Below are 18,949 nucleotides of genomic sequence, written 5' to 3' on the forward strand. Positions count from 1 at the left end.
TACCTGCCAAGCCCATACATCCTGGCTCCTCCTCTCAGTCACATGGCCTCATTTACAAATCAGTTCTGGTCAGTGATGGGAGAATAAGCACCCTACTACACTTCTGAGCCACATCCATGAAAATATCCCACAGAGAACCTTCATCTTCTCTCAGGGTTGCCACCTGGATGAGGAATCTACGATCCGAGAAAATGGCAGAGCCATAAAACAGCAATAGCCCTAAATTACCTCTTGTCAAATCACTTATGGAAGGAAAGCATTCACCACTAGACTAGGCTTGCAGAGAAAAGAGAAACTTCTGCTGTGTTATGCCACTAGTAGTATTTCAGGATGTACTTACTAAAACAACTGCAATTTATCTTATTGATACTAACGCCTAAAATGCATTCCCTATTTTTTTAAACATTTGGCATTGGTAGAGAAACATGTTTAGCAACTGATATTTCTCTGTTATAATTACTCAGAGTTAACTTTACACATAGATATAAGTGAAAAAATGCCAATTTATTGAGAAGGAGTTCACAACATACATTTCATCTATATTATTTCATCTTTTTAGACACTCAAAGGTAGAGACATGAAGGTTATCTTAATTTTAGAGAGGTATGGGGAGTTATCTTAATTGTAAAGATTAAGAAACTATGACTAAGAATGGCAAAGTCTTCCAGATTTAACCCAATCTTGTCTCAATATCCAGAGCCCTTTTGCCATCCAACTTGAAATGCTTTTATAAACCCAGGAAAGACTACTTCATCTCTCTTCCAATCCCTGCACATGGTATAGCTGAAATCTTACTAACTAGGTACAAAACCTTTGTTTTTATGCTCAACTACAAAAGGTATGTATCCCTGGAAAGGCCAAGTCAAAGACCGGAATTTACAATAAAGCATTAAGGATAAATACCAGATCTGGTTTTAGTCACAGAAATGAGAGCGAATAGAAGTAAAGATAACAAAATGGAGTATCAGGAAATAGGCAAGAAAAGGAACACGAAAGAGGAATCCATTTCACCCAATTTTACCTAAGGTCAGACATTTGGTGTGCCACTGAATATACGAGATCTTAAGTTAGTCTGTCAGTTCCAGACTCAGGCCTCTTCTCTTCCCCCAAATCATGCCACACTGCATCTACAGACTCTCACATATTACATTCTGGAAAGACAGGCTGGTAGCCTTAAAAACAAAAAACAAACATCCAAATATTGCCCATAGAGTCAAAGACCTGAATTCAAATCAAACTTCAAAACATCCTCCTTCCAATATTTAATACACCCTTTTATGTATAAGCCTGGGTGCTGGTGCTGGGAAGCGAGTTACAGTGATGAATAAGAGACATGTGTTATCTTCAGGAAGCTTACAGTGTATCAACTGTGCCAATTAACACTTCTGTGATCAGGGGAAAGTCACTTATTTGAGCCTCAACTATACCAAATGTTAATTCATTGGCAACATCTATAAGAGGATGGTGTAAGAGGAGGAAAAGAGGTAACTTACATGAACTTGCTCCGCAAAGAGCTGTTTAAATACAAGTGTTTGCTTAATATGGATGTTTTCTACCACATGGATACCATAAAACACTTACTCTACACAGATCACTAGCTAGAAGGCATGGGAGCCTTTACTTTTCTTCTTATTGCCCTCAACAGCCCAGCTGCTGCTATAGCAGTCAGTCCTTAGGAAGCCTGGAGAAAAAACTAAGGGCCTTTTGACAAACTGAAGTTACTGGTTATTCCATGAGTTCCATGGTGAAACATCAAGCTATACCAAGCTAAACAGGTTTCCCTAGCCATTCACTTAACAAATACTTATTCAGTGCTCTGCATTTGTGTTGTTCCCTAGTGAGGAGGCCAGAAAAATAAACATTTTAACAGTTGACTTAATTGACTGATTTTAAATTGTGATAGGAGTTTGAAGGAAACAGAGTCCTAAGATATAGCTACACTACAAAAGACCTACATTGGCTAAGATGGTCCTCTGTAAGAAAGTGAGACTTTGGCTGATGCCTAGAAGAGAAGAAATTACCCACGCAGAGACACAAGTAAGGTATTCCAGGCAGAAGAAACCTTACATGCAAATAGCTCATGTGGGAGAAGAACTGAGTGTGTTCAGAACTAAGTACTTCAAATGAGCTTGAAGGGAAGAGGTTATGAAGTGGGAAGGGTTGGAGAAAGCTACTTCCCTACTCTTACAGGCTCGTACCCTAGACCTCCTCAGAGCCTGTGTTATACTAATGAGTATCATGAAGGTTAAGAGAAAGATCCAGTATGTAGTTACTCCCAAATCTAAAGCTGGACCTCTAAAAGACGGATGGCCCCATTCGTCTTTGAGAAATGCTCTTCTAATGTACCAATTGTGCTGGTAAGACACAGAAGAGTTGAGAGGGGCATCAATACCACTCTTCTTATAAGGCTGTTGACATCTCAGCTAAATATTCAGAGTGTCTCAACTGCTTCTCTGAATTCTGGCAGGACCCACCTGCAAATGAGAAGATTTCCACAGACAGGCTGGTGGATGAGCCCAGGCAAGTCAGTTATACGTTCAAACTGAAAGAGACTATAAAAACTTGATTTTTAAATGACTAAATTCAACAATGATAATCACCCGTATTCTTATTTCCTAGGTCAAGGACAGAGGGGAAAATGGGGAAAGGACAAAAGAGGGGGCCACTGCTTCCATTCATGGTCAATAAATGTATCACAAGATACAGACCTGAACTAAGAATTCTTCTTCTTCTTCTTCTTCGTTTTTTTTTTTTTCTTTCGAGATGGAGTCTCGCTGCAATGCCCAGGCTGGAGTGCAATGGTACAATCTTGGCTCACTGCAACCTCTGCTTCCCGGGTTCAAGGAATTCTCCCACCTCAGCTTCCCAAGTAGCTGGGTTAACAGGCACATGCCACCATACCCGGCTAATTTTTGTATTTTAGTAGAGACAGGGTTTCACCATATTGGCCAGGCTGGTCTCAAACTCCTGACCTCAAGTGATCTGCCCGCCTTGGCCTCCGAAAGTGCTGGGATTACAGGCGTGAGCCACCACGCCTGGCCAGAATTATTCTTTAGTAGTAGAAAAACATCATATTCTCCCTTGTATTTAGATTTTATCATCTAATTGCATATTCCCATTTTTGTGGTTTTCTGGAAAATGCTTAAAAGCTAACTTTCTGTACTTTCTGAATAAATACTTTAATAAGTACACAGGAGAATATTGGGTTCTTAATATATTACCTGACTTCTTAAGTAGTTGTAGTCCAAGTTATGTTATGCATTTTATACCCAACTGGCTAGCTTGTGAATTATATAGACACTCACATAGGTGAAAATTAACTTTATAAAAAAAGTACAGGATCCTTGACCGATGTGCCAGCCTTTTAAATGTATCTGTAGCATCACTATCATCTCCCTTTTTCTAATAATAACCTCTTAAACCACATACTTTTGAAAGTTCTGCTCCCCTCTTCCCCCTACATCCAAAAATTCAAAATCAGATCAGACAACTGTCATTCTTCCACATTTAAAGGTATCTCAGAAGGCAGGAGTAGCTGTGTACACATAAAGGATGCAGGCTTTGTCCCACAGAGAGTTAAATTAATATCCTGGCTTGACTAGTTCAACTTACCGTACATCTTCATTTGCCCAGGAACACAATCTGTAGCCAACTGCTAACCAAGTCAATATGTGGTAAGACTAACAGCCACCCTAACCTGCCTTGATAATTATTCTCCTTTAACTGACATAATATTCAATATACTGTTGTTGAGAGCAATAATGCTAAAATTGATGCCTTGAGGGCTACAAGACAATTGAGTTTTAGCCAGATAAAATGACTTGTACACTAATAGAGCATTATGGGGTTCCACAGCCTTCGGACACACATTTTATAGCCTACTTTTACAAAAACGCCATATACAATTATATTCAAAGTAATTTGTGCACACCTTATCATTACCACATACAATCTTTAAAATATTGGCCAATTATCAAGTAACATTACTTTAGAAGAATGGGTTTACTTTTACAGTCTCTCTCTTTTTTCTTTACAAAACAAAGCATTTTCTCACTACAAAAGTGGTAACAGTTTTGGTGTTCTGGGACCATTTGCTTTTTTTTCCAAACCGAGAACTGTTTTAACAAAGAACAAGTAGATTATAAATGCTGAATGACAAAAACCATCATTTAAATAAAATCTATATTACATCAATTCTACCAATAAAACAAGACAGAAACTAAACCTAGAACTCCTCTAATGTAAAAATCATCTATCGTTTTCTCAAAATGTCAATTTTAGACTGAATGGAGAAATATTATATTAAATTTGAGACTGTCAAAATCTATATTAAAATAATAAAAATTAATTATAATTTAAGTATTACAATAAATGAAAATGCTCTCTATAAGCAGTATTTCACCCTAAAATAAGAGATTTATAAATTTTAGTTCCTGGTTTTACTGAATTTTCCTCTCAAATTTCATTTCTCTTGCAATTTTGTTTCTTTAAATCAAGCTTGTCCAACCCACAGCCCACGGGCTGCATGTGGCCCATGAAGGCTCTGAATGCGGCCCAACACAAATTTGTAAACTTTCTTAAAACATTATGAGAGTTTTTTTTTAAGCTCATCAGCTATTGTTAGTGTTAGTATATTTTATGTGTGGCCCAAAACAATTCTTCTTCCAATGTGGCCCAGGAAGCCAAAAGATTTGACACCCCTGCTAAATACTGGGCCCTCCCATACAAAGAAATACAGAGTACATTTACATTTTTTATACCTGCATTAGAGATATGTTCACAAGTTGGGGAAAAACTAACATCTAAATAATTATTTCAAGTAAAATAAAAAACAGGCACTGGCCAAGGCAGAACAATAGGACCATAACACAGAAACATTATCAGGCTTTATGTTTACTCCTATCAAAGTGCTACCTGAGCTTTGTTAAAATGGCAAACCAACATAGCCCTGCACATACCTATTTGTTTGGACAGAAAGATACAATGTATATGCTTGTGTCTCTGCGTAGGTATACAGGTGTAAGTATCTTAGGCAACACATACACATGAAACTGAAATACAATATTAATGACAGAAGTATAAGCAGCATAGTGGAGGTAATAAAGATGGTACCAGATTGGGGCAAAACACTTGTTGGTTTGGAATAAAGAAAGGACTGTTAGCCAAGCTAACAGTTCCATACAAACAACTGTAAGAGGTTTTTCTCTTTGTGTAGGGTAAAATCCATTCAAAACAGACATTAATAATCACGCTGTAGAAATGACTGTAGAAAGACGCAGCACTGTATGCATCTTGGGGCCAGTATAAGCAGGGATTGTGAAACCAGTTCCTGATTTATTTTTCCTGGCCCCTTCCTCCTAGATCTTGTTCCCCCTCATGCCCCCTGACCGTCCAAGACTTATCTTCCTACTTTAACCCACTGAAATGTCCCCATCCTGAGGCAAATGAGATAATGCTTGTAAACATTCTGTATAAACTGAAAACGTAATATATAATTGCTACTATTATCACCATCATCTCATCTTTTGAGGGCCAAATTTTCTGTGTCTTCCCAGTTGAGATTCTCACTAAATTAAGACGTCATTCTATTCTGAGAGCAGACAGGTTATTCCAACTCCCTTCCCTTTCCCTACTTCTACTTTCTATCCTTCCACTGCTCTCCTGTCCCAGCTAACAGCTGGAGGTACCACACAGGAAAATGACAAGAATCTGTGTGTTCTGATGCCAGGTTAAAACGAGAGGTAGACTGAGGCTCCCCACTCCTCACATGCCAAGCTGGCAGCTAATGCCCTTCATGTAACACACAGTAGCTCAGGGAATAAACAGTGGAGATATGTCTAGCACTATACAAGGCTGGCACAGCCAAAACCAATTGTTTTTGAAGGGGTCATGTCTCCTGGTATTATCCTCATGGGAAATTTGAAAAATTGCTTCAGATTCTACCTTCTCAAATTGAGATGTCCTTCGGCGAGAGGGGTATTTCTTCATCATCCAGTGTAGCCTCTTTGGATCCTGGGATCTCCCAAAATGCTGTTCTCAACATTGACCCCTCAAGGGTTACAGGAAGACAGATAGCCATAAACACATTTCAGAGGCAAAGTATACAGTGCAAATAACACATGACACATTGCAAAAATGAGATGAAGAAAGAGAGGGATGGGAGATGGGGGTGCATGAAGGCTGTGGGCCTCCCAGAAAACTCTTAGAGCCCTTACCAGGTCAGAAGTGCCATTGACACAAAGGAGACACTCAAGGCTGGAAGAACAGGTTCTGCAAAGACGAAATCTAAAATCATGTCTGTGTGTTTCAGAAGGTAGAAATCTGAAGGCTATCATGTGAGGGTTTACTGGTTATATAAGTTTATATGGATTATAGTTCTACCTTTGAGTTGGCTGAAAAAACAATAAATAGTAAAATGTGTACCTTTAGGTACAAAGACAACCAAGAAAAACACCGTACCTGCAAACTGAGTATGAGAAAAAGCCCTAATAAACCCAAATGAAGGGTAATCTCAGATTTTCACACACCCATTACCCGCCTCAAAGAGCCCTCCTTTTTAATAGGGTTATAATAAGACTTGTTGAAGAAGCCAGAAAGCCCATGATGTAGAGAAAGAGTTGAATTCAAAAAGGTGCAAACAAAGGTAACGCAAGTCAAGAGGCCAAGTTTTCCTTCTAATACAGCCTGAGGCCCGATGGTGGCCTGCTTTGTCTCTCTCCTTTCCCCTTCCCTGACAAGCCTGCTGAAACGACCACTTTAACCAGAGGAGGGTGTGCAGCCCTTCCTGCGAGGTTTGTCAAGGACTCTCACCCTTCCCCACCCACAGTCGGCCCCGGACACGGGCGGCGTTCAAGTCCTCTCCCTACCTGAAGGATGTATCCTCGGACATAGTCCCGCAGAGTCCAGCCAAGGCCGTGCAGTATGTGCAGTACCTCCTCTTGCTTCAGGACGCTGAAGAGACGGTCCAGCAGGATCTTTAGCCGCACAGGCACTGCTTGTGTCCCATAGAGCATCAGGCTGCTGATGTCAAACACGACGTTGGACTGCACAATCTCCACTTGGGTGGGGTGGTACAGGTGCTGCGTGCTGAGCTTATCCAAGGCTGTGGTGGTCCCGCCAAAGTTCCAGAGATGGGGGTGTTGGGAATAAGATAAAGAGAGAGAACAGGAGTTAGAAATATTGCTGGAAGTTACCAGGGCTCCATTTCTACACATGAATGTTCGCCATAGGTGTTTAAGCAAGATCTTGCAAAGAAAATAGTTCTCTGACACCTCCTTTCTGTTTTACCCCTTTTCTTTCCTATTTTTTTAATTGGATGTGTTTATAAATTGCAGGCAACAACAAATAGAAAACACATTCAACTTTCAGATAAAGAGTCACTGAGGGGGTTTTCAAATGACCGTGGCTGGTGCTAAAAACCTCATTGATTTGTTAACTGAACTGTGTTTCAACCCGAGTGACGATGGTGTCCCCTACCCCCCACCAAAAACAAAACAAAACAATTCCTAACTCATGCCATATGGGCAGGCTCAGTGAATATCACTTTTCTGAATAAGATTCACCCCTTATAATACCTGAATGGTTAAAGAGGAGGAAGAGAGTGTTCTTTAGACGACAGGGGTGAAAGACCTAATTTGGAGGGAATAAGGAAAGCTGACATCTGTGTGGAGGGCTAGTAATTTAAGTCAAGTCATATTAGCTATAGGGGGTTATCCAAAAACTTAGTTCTCTCAATTTCTCTCGTTAGTCACCTGTTAGATAGCTTTTGTGTTCATTGGCATGTTTTCTGAAAGTTATTCAGGATAAAAAAGAAAATTAAAGTCATAATTTTAAAAAGAAAGAAATAACAAGTCACTTTGTTAATAGCTCTAAGGGTACAGATGAAAATGGAAACAAATGACAAACCAACATTTGAGAATTTCTGGTGTATTTCAGCTAACTGTATTATCTCAGTAGAAAAAGCTGAGGATGACCATTCTCAGAGTAAACACTTTTAATAAAATGAAAAGTTCAACAATTGGGTGCTTTTTCTCCTCAAATTTAAGAAACGCCATCTCTTCTCTAGAACTAAAGGCCAAAATAAGGTCATAAATTCCAGTCCCCATCCATATCTGAGTTACTGCACACCCTATTGCTGATAATATAATTACATTTTGCCTCAGTTTCTCAAGCAATAACACTGTCTTATCTGTAGGGCTTAAAGAGATGCTGCAAAGATTAGTGAGATAACGAGTGAGAGGCACTCTAAACTCCTTAAGAGAACACAAAAGGCATTCAAAACTGTCAGAATTATATGCATATGCCCATTTAGGAATTAAACAAGATGAACACATAAGCCTGAAGGATGGTCATCTAACCTCATGAGTCAGGCAAATGGGTATCAGCCAACATCTAGGCTCAAGTCATAACTACACCTAAGTTATGAACCTAAGGTTTCTGCAAATTCTAAACTACAGTGTGGCCTTTCTCAGCGGCTTTTCCTAACACCTTATCCCTAATGGTACGGGCTACACTACACGTGCATTCTCAGCAACTCCTATTTTACTACACCAATATTACTGCATAATCATGGAGGAATTTAAAAGTGCGTGCACACAGATTTTTTAGTATTTCATATGTATTTTTTCAGGGCTCCTCCTCCACTCTCATTTCCTCCTGACTTGTGGTCACTAGAGAGTTCATGTACTCTTGATAAATTGCTTTCTTACATCCACAGTGTAAAGGCCCTTATCATTTACCCGCTGGCTTCATTCAACACATTTACTCCCAGGAATACTTTGTCAAAGAGTTCGGGTTTTCTCATACTTCATTTCTTGCAGCTGATTTGTCTGATCTTCCCTATTCTAGTGGTTAAGTCAACTTTGAATAAATAGCCTTAAAAATTAATTTAACGTTTGGGAAAGATAAGGGCTTCACAAGCCTAGGGATTGAAGTTTTCTCTCACTCCACAGGGCATTTAGACTGCAAAAAAGCAGGGATGGGGTATTACTATCCCTGTTCTTCTTCAAGTACAGCTTAACTACTCAGCCTTCTGATGAGTGGCTGCTCTGCTAACAGAATCCAGTGACCAGATCGGGGGCGATCTGCTCCTCCTCCATTTCCCTTCATCAGCTCTCCTCAACCGTTTCAGATAGTTCTTTACAAAACAGACTTCTATGACAACAGCAAATATGAAACTGACAGGAGTCAGTAGAAAGGAAATAAAATGACACAAAATCCTGATTTTTGTGTGTGTACTTGGCACCTTGCATGTCTGCATTAAATACATGCAGGTGTGTGTGCAAATGCGTTCAAATTGTAGGTGAAAAAAACCACAATCACTCTCCCTCCCACTCATTAAAAAAGGTTGGTTGTTTTATTTTGTATTATTTTTTAAGACGGAGTCTCGCTCTGTCGCCCAGGCTGGAGGGCAGTGGCGCGATCTCGGCTCACTGCAAGCTCCGCCTCCCAGTTTCACGCCATTCTCCTGCCTCAGCCTCCAGACTAGCTGGGACTCAGGCGCCCACCACCACGCCTGACTAATTTTTTTTTTTGTATTTTTGGTAGAGACGGGGTTTCACCATGTTAGCCAGGATGGTCTCGATCTCCTGACCTCGTGATCCACCCGCCTCGGCCTCCCAAAGTGCCGGGATTACAGGCATGAGCCACCACACCCGGCCAAGGTTGGTTGTTTTAAAGATGAAGAGCACTAAACTGTTAAGGGTACAGAAGAAAAGAGAATTAAAAGAGCACAGAAAGAACAAAAATATTTCCCTAGATATGCTTTCGAGAACACCTGAGACTGAGGATATTATAAGGACACTAGTTGATTCTTCTTCATAAGTGTACCATATGTTAGTAAGTATGAATACAGCTGGGCAAGGTGGCTCACACCTGTAATCCCAGCACTTTGGGAGGCGAGACGGCAGATTGCCTAAGCCAAGAGTTCAAGACCGGCCTGGGCAATGCGGTGAAACTCCCACCTCTACAAAAAATGGAAAAATTAGCTGGACATGGTGGCGCCCACCTGTGGTCCCAGCTACTCGGGATGCTGGAGTAGGAGGATTATCTGAGCCCAGGGGAGATCCAGGCTGCAGTGAGCCATGATTGTATCACTGTACTCCAGCCTGGGCAACAGAGTGAGACCCTGTCTCAAAAAAAAAGAAAAAAGTAGAAAAACTGTTATAAACCACATAAATATAGAGCAAAGGTCAACAACTTATTCTATAAAGGCCAGATATTAAATATTTTAGGTTTGTGGGTTATGCATTCTCTTTCACACCTATTCACCTCTGTTGTTATAGCAAGAAAGCAGCCATACACAGATAAGACTTAAACTATTAGGTGTGTCAATGTTCCAATAAAACTGTACTTAGGCCAGGTGCAGTGGCTCACACCTGTAATCCCAGCGCTGTGGGAGGCCAAGGCAGGAGAATTGCTTGAGCCCAAGAGTTTGAGATCAGCTTAGGCAACACATTGAAACCCTGTCTCTACAAAAAAATAAAATATTAGGCAGGCATACCTGTAGTCCCAGCTACTTGGGAGGCTGATGGGGGAGGACTGCTTGGGCCCTGGGGGTCAAGGCTGCAGTGGAGCAATGATTGTGCCACTGCACTTCAGCCTGGGTAGAAGAGTAAGACCCTGTCTCCAAAAACAAACAAACAAACTTTATTTACACAAACAGACACCTCACCAGCTTTGTTTGGGCCCTGAGGACGATGAAAAGGCGGACTAGATATTTAATGGAAGTCAATAGTAGATCACAAAAAAGCTCTAAGAGTGTGGTTTAGGAAGCAGTTACCTAGGAGATGAGCCATAGATGAAGACTTAAAAAATATTAAACTGGGCCAGGCACAGTGGCTCACACCTGTAATCCCAGCACTTTGGGAGGCTGAGGCGGGTGGATCATGAGGTCAAGAGATCAAGACCATTCTGGCCAATATGGTGAAACCCTGTTTCTACTAAAAATACAAAAATTAGCTGGGCATGATGGTGCGCGCCTGTAGTCCCAGTTACTCAGGAGGCTGAGGCAGGAGAATCGCTGGAACCTGGGAGGTGGAGGTTACAATGAGCCAAGATCATGCCACTGCACTCCAGCCTGGCGACAGAGCGAGACTCTAACTCAAAAAAAAAAAAAAATTAAACTGCCTAACTTGCAAATTTCAGCATAAACATATCATCAAAGATTATGATCTGTCAAATTTCTTGAATATATCAAAATTTTCTGCTTTATAATTACTAGATCATATCGAGTCACCAAGTTGTGACAACTTTTGGGGAAGTATCCATGGAACTATGATACATGATGATTTTTTAAGTGTCATAAAATCTGTAAGCTGAGAACTAGACTGCTGCCTAATTTCATGATCTTCACATATCTGACTGTGGAGGAGTCAGGTCTGGATCTTGTAGGGTTAGGAATATGAGTTAGGCCAATGGCGCTGTGGAAAAGGTAGGTCAAGAACTCATTTATCAGGATGGAGTGGGAAAAGATGTCACCTACTTTAATATATTATGGGCCTAACCATCTGCTGATGTGTCCCATACCAATGGTATTGTTAAGATTCATTTTCAGGCCAGGCACCGTGGCTCACACCTGTAATCCCAGCACTTTGGGAGGTTGCAGTGGGCGAATAACCCGAGGTCAGGAGTTTGAGACCAGGCTGGCCAACATGGGGAAACTCCACCTTTACTAAAAACACAAAAATAAGCCGGGCATGGTGGCACACGCCTGTAGTCCCAGCTACTTGGAAGGCTGAGGCAAGAGAATCACCTGAACCCAGGAGGCGAAGGTTGCAGTGAGCTGAGATCGTACCACTGCACTCTAGCCTGGGCGACAGAGTGAGACTCTGTCACAGGATTTAAAAAAAAAAAAAAATTCATTTCCAAATGCAATCTAACCAGAAGTTGCATATACAAAATATATAAAAGTGAAGCTGTTCTAGGTGAAGCTGGAGTAATCATGGGTCAGAGAACATCCAATCAGGTATTACTCCCTTTTTCTCTTCAACTTGCTTAAGTATCTCAGTGGGCTGAACTGTACTTGCTTAAGTACAGTTTGAAAAGCCCTTTTCTCTATAGTGAGTTGATACCAATTTTTTGCCTGACTTGTGTCCACTCCCCTTCACTCTGGTAATAGAAGCTACATTTCCTTTTGGGAACTTGTCCCTTACACTCAACACCAGTATTTCTTTCTTTTCTGTTTTTTTTTTGTTGTTGTTTGTTTGTTTTTTTTTGAGACAGGTTCTAACTCTATGACCCACGTTGGAGTGCAGTGGCAGGATCGCGGCTCCCCACAGCCTCCATCTCCTGGGACTCAGTCTCCCAAGCAGCTAGGACTAGAGGTGCATGCCACCATACCCAGCTAATTTTTCTGTATTTTTTTTGTAGAGATGGGGTTTCCCCATGTTGTTCAGCCTGGTCTCGAACTTCTGGGCTCAAGTGATCCACCTGCCTCGGCCTCCCAAAGTGTTGGGATTACAGGCATGAGCCACCATACTCAGACAATACCAGTATTTCATAGAACTGAATACTCCTTAGCCAGGCCTAGAAAACCAGTCTGCTCCCAGCACCCTGAGCATAACAACTGGTTCAAGAATAGGCAAGTGACCTAAGTCTGGACAGTGCAATTGAATCCAGGAACTTACTTAGAACTACTGGGAATTTCTTCTCTTTCCTCTAAATTTGTACCTAATGAATATGCTTGAGAATGCAAATCATATGAAGAAGATCTAGGCTGCAAGACAATCTGACAAATATCTAGTACTGATAATATTGTTTGATTGAGAAGATTTGGCAGTGCTTTGAGGCTGGTACTATCCCTGGAATCTTCTGTTACATGAGCCAACAAAATCTGTATTTCCTTGTCCCTCCACTACCTCTCCCTGTCCCCTCTGCCATTTTCTCACTGTCTACTTGAAGTCACATTCTGTAAGTTGGAACTAAAAGAGTTCTATTACAACTACCCTTTGAGGTACTTTTCTAGCTGATTAAAAAGTAATTTCAACGTCAGGTGCGGTGGCTCATGCCTGTCATCCCAGCACTTTGGGAGGTTGAGGCGGGCGGATCATGAGGTTAGGAGTTCGAGACCAACCTGGCCAACATGGTGAAACCACGTCTCTACTAAAAATACAAAAATTGTCCAGGCACGGTGGCGCGCACCTGTAGTCCCAGCTACTCTACTCAGGAGGCTGAAGCAGGAGAATCACTTGAACCCGGGAAGCAGAGGTTGCAGTGAGCTGAGATTGTGCCACTGCACTCCAGCCTGGGTGACAGAGCAAGACTCCGTCTCAAAAAAAAAAAAAAAAAAGTAATTTCAAAGTAGTGGTCGGTGTTCAACTAAAAGTATGTTAGTTCCAGGCTGAATGCAATTCACAATTTCTGCAATGAATGGAATGAAGAGTATTCTAAACAATTTCACATCTTATACGGATTTACAAAGAGGGACGAATGCCTTCAACAGCATTAATAAGGAAAAATAATGGTGAGGAAGAGTATAAAGAAAATAACCCTTTAAGTATCAACTATATATCAGGCATCATTCTAGAGCAAATTTGTCCAAACCATGGCCCAGGATGGCTTTGAATGCGGCCCAATACAAATTCATAAACTTTCTTAAATGAGATTTTTTTTTGCCATTTATTTTTAGTTTATCAGCTATCGTTAGTGTGTTAGTGTATTTTATGTGTGGCCCAAGCCAATTCTTCTTCCATTGTGGCCCAGGGAAGCCAAAAGATTGGACATCCCTGTTCTAGGGGCTATTAGCTCATTTAATCCTTCAATTAAAAAGCATACAAACACAGTATTATTATTATTGCTTATTCTGAGATTATAGGCTCAATCAGGTTAGGTAACTGGCCTAAGGTCACTTAGCAACTTCATTCAAGAAAATTCTGTTTTCACCACATGTTCGAATAAATAGTCAATATGAAACCTGCAAGTCCTCATCATGTCGGAAGTCCCTAACTGCCAGCAATCTGGGCTACTTGCCCATCACTCTGCTGAAGCAAGCATTTCAAAGGTCACCAACACCTGCCTTTCTGTGAAATCCAATAGCTTTTTTCCTTCATTATTCTCCACAGTCTCTCCATAGCAGCTGACCTTATTGATCACCACTCCTCCTAAAATGCTCTCCTCCTTCATTCATGCATACATTCATTTATCCACCAGCACCTATTAACTTATCTCTGAGGTACGTGCTGTATGCAGATGCAAAAGTAATTTATGTTGTGGCCTCCACCTTCAAAAGCAGACAGATGTAGGCAATATAAATGCCATAAAAAAGATTTGACAAAGTACTGTGGGACACAGAAGAGAGGGCAATGCTGCCGGGAATGCAGTCTCCTAACTCGGAAGTCAGCAGGCAAGAAAGGAGGAGGAGACTACTGTAGGTAGACGGAACTAAGGCAGTGATTCTCACTCATTGTGTGCATCAGAATCAAGTGGAGGACCTGTTGAAACAGACTGCTGGGCCACCTCCCCCAGAGTTTCTGATTCACTGGGTCTGGGCATCAAGAATCTGCATTTCTAACAAGTCTCCAGAAGATGCTGATGCTACTGGCCAGGACCATACTCTGAGAATCACTGAATTAATGGGTATGTGTTAGGGAACCATCTAAAGAATGTAACACTTGCAGCAAAATAGTTGGAAATTAGTCCAAAAAGATCAGATTAGCAGACTGTAAGTAAGGAGCTGTATTTATAAAGGCAAAGACCTGTGGAAAGCTTATAATTTTATTTCTTGTTAATAGGATTAGGAAAGTATTAAACATTTTATAAGAGGAAAATGGGTAGGTGTGGTGGTACATGCCTGAAATCTCAATGCTTTGGGAGGCTAAGATGGGAGGATCACTTGAAGATAGGAATTGGAGATCTGCCTGGACAACACAGTGAAACCATGTCCACAAAAAAAAAATAAAAAATTAACGAGCCAGGCAAGGACAAGTGTGGTAGAGCAAGCCTATAGTCCCAGTTACTTGAAGCAACAGAGACAGGAGGATCACTTGAGCCCAGGAGTTCCAGGCTGCAGTGAGCTATGATCCTGCACTATACTCCAGCGTGGATGACAGAATGAGACCGCATCTCTAAACAGCAAAAGATTAAAAGATAAAAATGATTTTTAGTTTTAGATGTAAAATTCTGATAAGAGTGCAGAAATTTAATTAAAGCAATAGTTGTCACATGGGAGACATGACACCTATCCAGCAGGAACAAAAGCTGGTGAAGGTACTGGATGAACCTTGGCCACAGAGCCAGAACCAACCAACGCAGGAAAGTTCAGAAGTAAGAGGGTTGTTTTAACTTTGAAAATTGTGGCCAGGCATGGTGGCTCATGCCTGTAATCCCAGCACTTTGGGAGGCCCAGCACTTTGGGATCACCAGAGGTCAGGAGTTTGTGACCAGCCTGGCGAATATAGTGAAACCACATCTCTATTAAAACTACAAAAATTAGCCAGGCATGGTGGTGGGCACCTGTAATCCCAGCTACTCAGGAGGCTGAGATAGGAGAATCTCTTGAACCCGGGAGGCAGAGGTGGCAGTGAGCCAAGACTGCCCTATTGCACTCCGCCTGGGCAACAAGAGTGAAACTCCGCCTCAAAAAAAAAAAAACAAAACCCACAGCCTTTGAAAATTGCCCCAGATGATCATGACACATATGCCCCCACTCACATACCACACTGAAAATTGGAGATAGAAACGGGGAGGGATGGCTTAGAGCCAAGTGAAGAGAGCAGGGCATTTTTGCATTACTCCACTGGGACATGACTTAATTCAGTGGACTTCTCAGTAGAGTATGCCTAAGCTCAGGGTATAAAAAGGCCTTCCATGAGGTATGCAAACACAAGGACCCAATTTCCAGATCTTGCAGTTCCATATTTACTCTAAAACTGATCCACTTGAGAATGGGCCTCCAAGTACATGAATTCATTCTTGTTTCTCTTCTGAAAATTGTACCCTTCCTTCTTTACAAAATAAAGGTAGATACTTGGCTTATATTCTATATGGTACACTAGCCCAGGGTGTAAAACTCTTCTGAGTGCTAAAATAATTCACAATTTGATTATTAAAAGAATTAATAGGCCAGCTGTGGTGGCTCACACCTGTAAATCCAGCACTTTTGAGAAGCTGAGCCAGGTGGATTGTTTGAGCCTAGGAGTTCGACACCAGCCTGGGCAACGTGGTGAAACCCCATCTCTACAAAAAATACAAAAATTAGCTGAGCATGGTGGCACGTGCCTGTAGTCCCAGCTACTCGGGAGGCTGAGGTGGGAGGATCACTTGAGCCCACGGAGGTCGAAGCTGCAGTGAGCCGTGACTGAGCCACTACACTCCAGCCTGAGCAACAGAGTGAGACCCTGTCTCAAAAAATAAACAAACAAAAAAAACAATTAATAAAGGCTCATATTTCCCTGACTATACACAGATGAGTAAAGTGTAGCTAGATCTCATACAGGATTTAGGACTATGCTGGAATGTTCAGAATTCAGACATCATGTAAAATGGGCAATGATAATGAACTCTCCTCTTACATTCTTATCTATTTTAGTAATGTATTGCTCTTTAGAAAGCATCCTATGGGAGCAAAGCATGAGTGTCCAATAATGAAAATGGTCTCCCTCCTCGAACCCCACATATTCAAAGCTAAGATATTCTTTTCAACTATCCTCAACACTCATTCATCCCTAGGAGGCGTCTTCACCTGGGAAGAAAAGCCCCTAAGCAAATGTAAGTGATGCCCACTCTTTTAATTTTAGTTTGAATATTTTCCTGTCCCTACAAAATTTGTAGAACACACTGAATAAAAGGTGTGGATAGAAATGTTACCTAATTTCTTTCAGAAACTATGTTTATCATTTAGTAAGGTAGTTACAGCCTACATAATCAAATAATAGCAAAATATTTACCATTAATCATCATTTTCATCTTAAAAGATTTTGAATACCTTCTACATACTGCTAATAAAATTAACAGAATAAATTATAATCCAAATGTCAAAGCACTTAATTTTTAGCAAGTATGTAAGTTCCTCTTTCATTAAGCATATAAAAACAGTTTGGTCATGATACCTAGCAAAATTGATAAATATTTTTATATATTACTCTTACCTAATTTTTTCCTAAAGTCCAACACTAAATTGTGTGATACACATGGAACCGTATTTATCAAAGTGATATCATGACTTCTAACATACTTCTCATTTCATAAATAAGTTATATATTATAGTACATAATTACTAATTAAGTAAAGAGAAATAGCATGTGTATTATAAGCTGAATAAATAAATTTTACTAGCACCACATTTTATTCTGGACTGTTTTAGTAATGTATCATAAAAGATGCATTCCATAACTTATTGATATGTTTTTATAAGTTTTCACAAAGTGCATTTATTTGAAGTGAAATGTGAACTCAGCTTTTTCTAATAAAAATTAAGTCAAATTTGTCAGTCCCACTGATCAAATATGATCATTTGACCATATCATTGGATTTGCAAATTAGGCTACCTGGTGGAAATTTTCATCAATTAAGATAGCTAAGTCTGCAACAGTAAGATAAAAGCATTTTGTTAAAAAAAAATTGCAGAAGTTATTTGAATTAAAAACTAATACAGTATTTTTATTTTCTCAATCTTTTCTGGGTATACAGGGATAAACAACATGCCTCTAAACTGAAGACTAACGATTAAATTTATAGGGCAGGACTTGGTCGCTCATGCCTATAATCCTAGCACTTTGGGAGGCCTAGGAGGACAGATCACTTGAGGCCAAGAGTTCGAGACCAGCCTGGCCAACAGAGCGAAACCCTGTATCTACCAAAAAAAAAAATTATAAATCATTATTTGATATAATTTCTTAAAGCCCTTTTCCATAAATTGAAAAAGAAATGACTATAACAATATCTGAGTAATACGTAGGATGGTTTCAATTTCTTAGCTTTTAGCAAACCAATCAAGTGCTGTGTAATTTTTGGCATATAACTTGAAATGACTTCTAAGAAATGAATGACAATGTGGTAACAAACCTCCTAGTCCCATGTATTCATGTGAACAGATGTCTCAGCAGTTACAGCTGTAGAAATGAAAATTGGGACTAGAACTGATAGTGTACCTTTTCTCTTTTTTGTAATAAGTACTATTCATCCATGGATACATGAACTAATCTGAGAAGAAAAAAATTTATAGTCCCAACTATTTCACCGGCAGATACTTCACTGACAGATACATTTCTAACAAAAACCCACTTTATGTTTAACAAATTGTTAAAATTAGTAATATTTATATCGCTTGGATTTTATCACTGTGATGACAGTTTTTAAAATAAAATTTCTATTTCTAAATATTTTATTAATTTTCATTGTAGGCATGCATGTTGAGTGATAAAAGACTTTCCAGTGAACATTTATGGTAATGTTATTTGGGGGAAAAGGAGTGGAAACAACAGTTAAGGTTAAAAAATAATGACAGAAAGCAACAATTTCATGTTTCCAGTGTTTTTAAAAGATGCTCGTTGTCTTCCAGATTAAAGACAGAGTCTCTAGGGCCAGAGTCTAATCCCAGCTCTGCCACTTACTTGCTGTAAGATATTCGTAAGTAACTCAGCATATGAGAATGTTAGGGTAGTCCTTAGTTTTCAAAATTATTTTAAGTATAAGCAAGCCAGTGACCTGAAGACTACAATCTTAATGTAAGGAGAAAGGAGAAGAAAGCATAAAATCAAGACCAAGCTAAGAAGTAGGAGGAAAAACAGATGCTTGTAGTAAAGATGAGGCACAGCTACAAAATGATTGGGATTTTCCAGTTTGGAAGATCTGGAGGCAAAATCAACGAGATTCAGAGGAAACATCAGGTTTCCAGACAAACTGCCTCTCCACCTGCCCACCTGTGATCATTTGCCCCTAGGAATCCAACTATTCCTACACTATGCAGATGATCCCTAACCTTTAAATTTCGCTCTGCCCAAGCTCAACTCCA

At 40.2% G+C, this 18,949-nt stretch overlaps 1 protein-coding gene across 40 annotated transcripts in view; it reads right to left on the reverse strand.

Moving 5' to 3' along the window:
- Positions 1-18,949, reverse strand: part of BNC2 (basonuclin zinc finger protein 2) — a 461,168-nt gene that overhangs the window by 136,161 nt on the left and 306,058 nt on the right. For all 40 annotated transcript variants that reach the window (XM_047423506.1, XM_047423501.1, XM_047423494.1 and 37 more), the window contains one exon: positions 6,867-7,102. In XM_047423506.1, coding sequence (XP_047279462.1) covers positions 6,867-7,102 — 236 coding nt within the window. The remainder of the gene's footprint in view (positions 1-6,866; positions 7,103-18,949) is intronic.

Source organism: Homo sapiens, chromosome 9 (assembly GCF_000001405.40).
Source record: "Homo sapiens chromosome 9, GRCh38.p14 Primary Assembly".
Taxonomy (NCBI): Eukaryota; Metazoa; Chordata; class Mammalia; order Primates; family Hominidae; genus Homo; species Homo sapiens.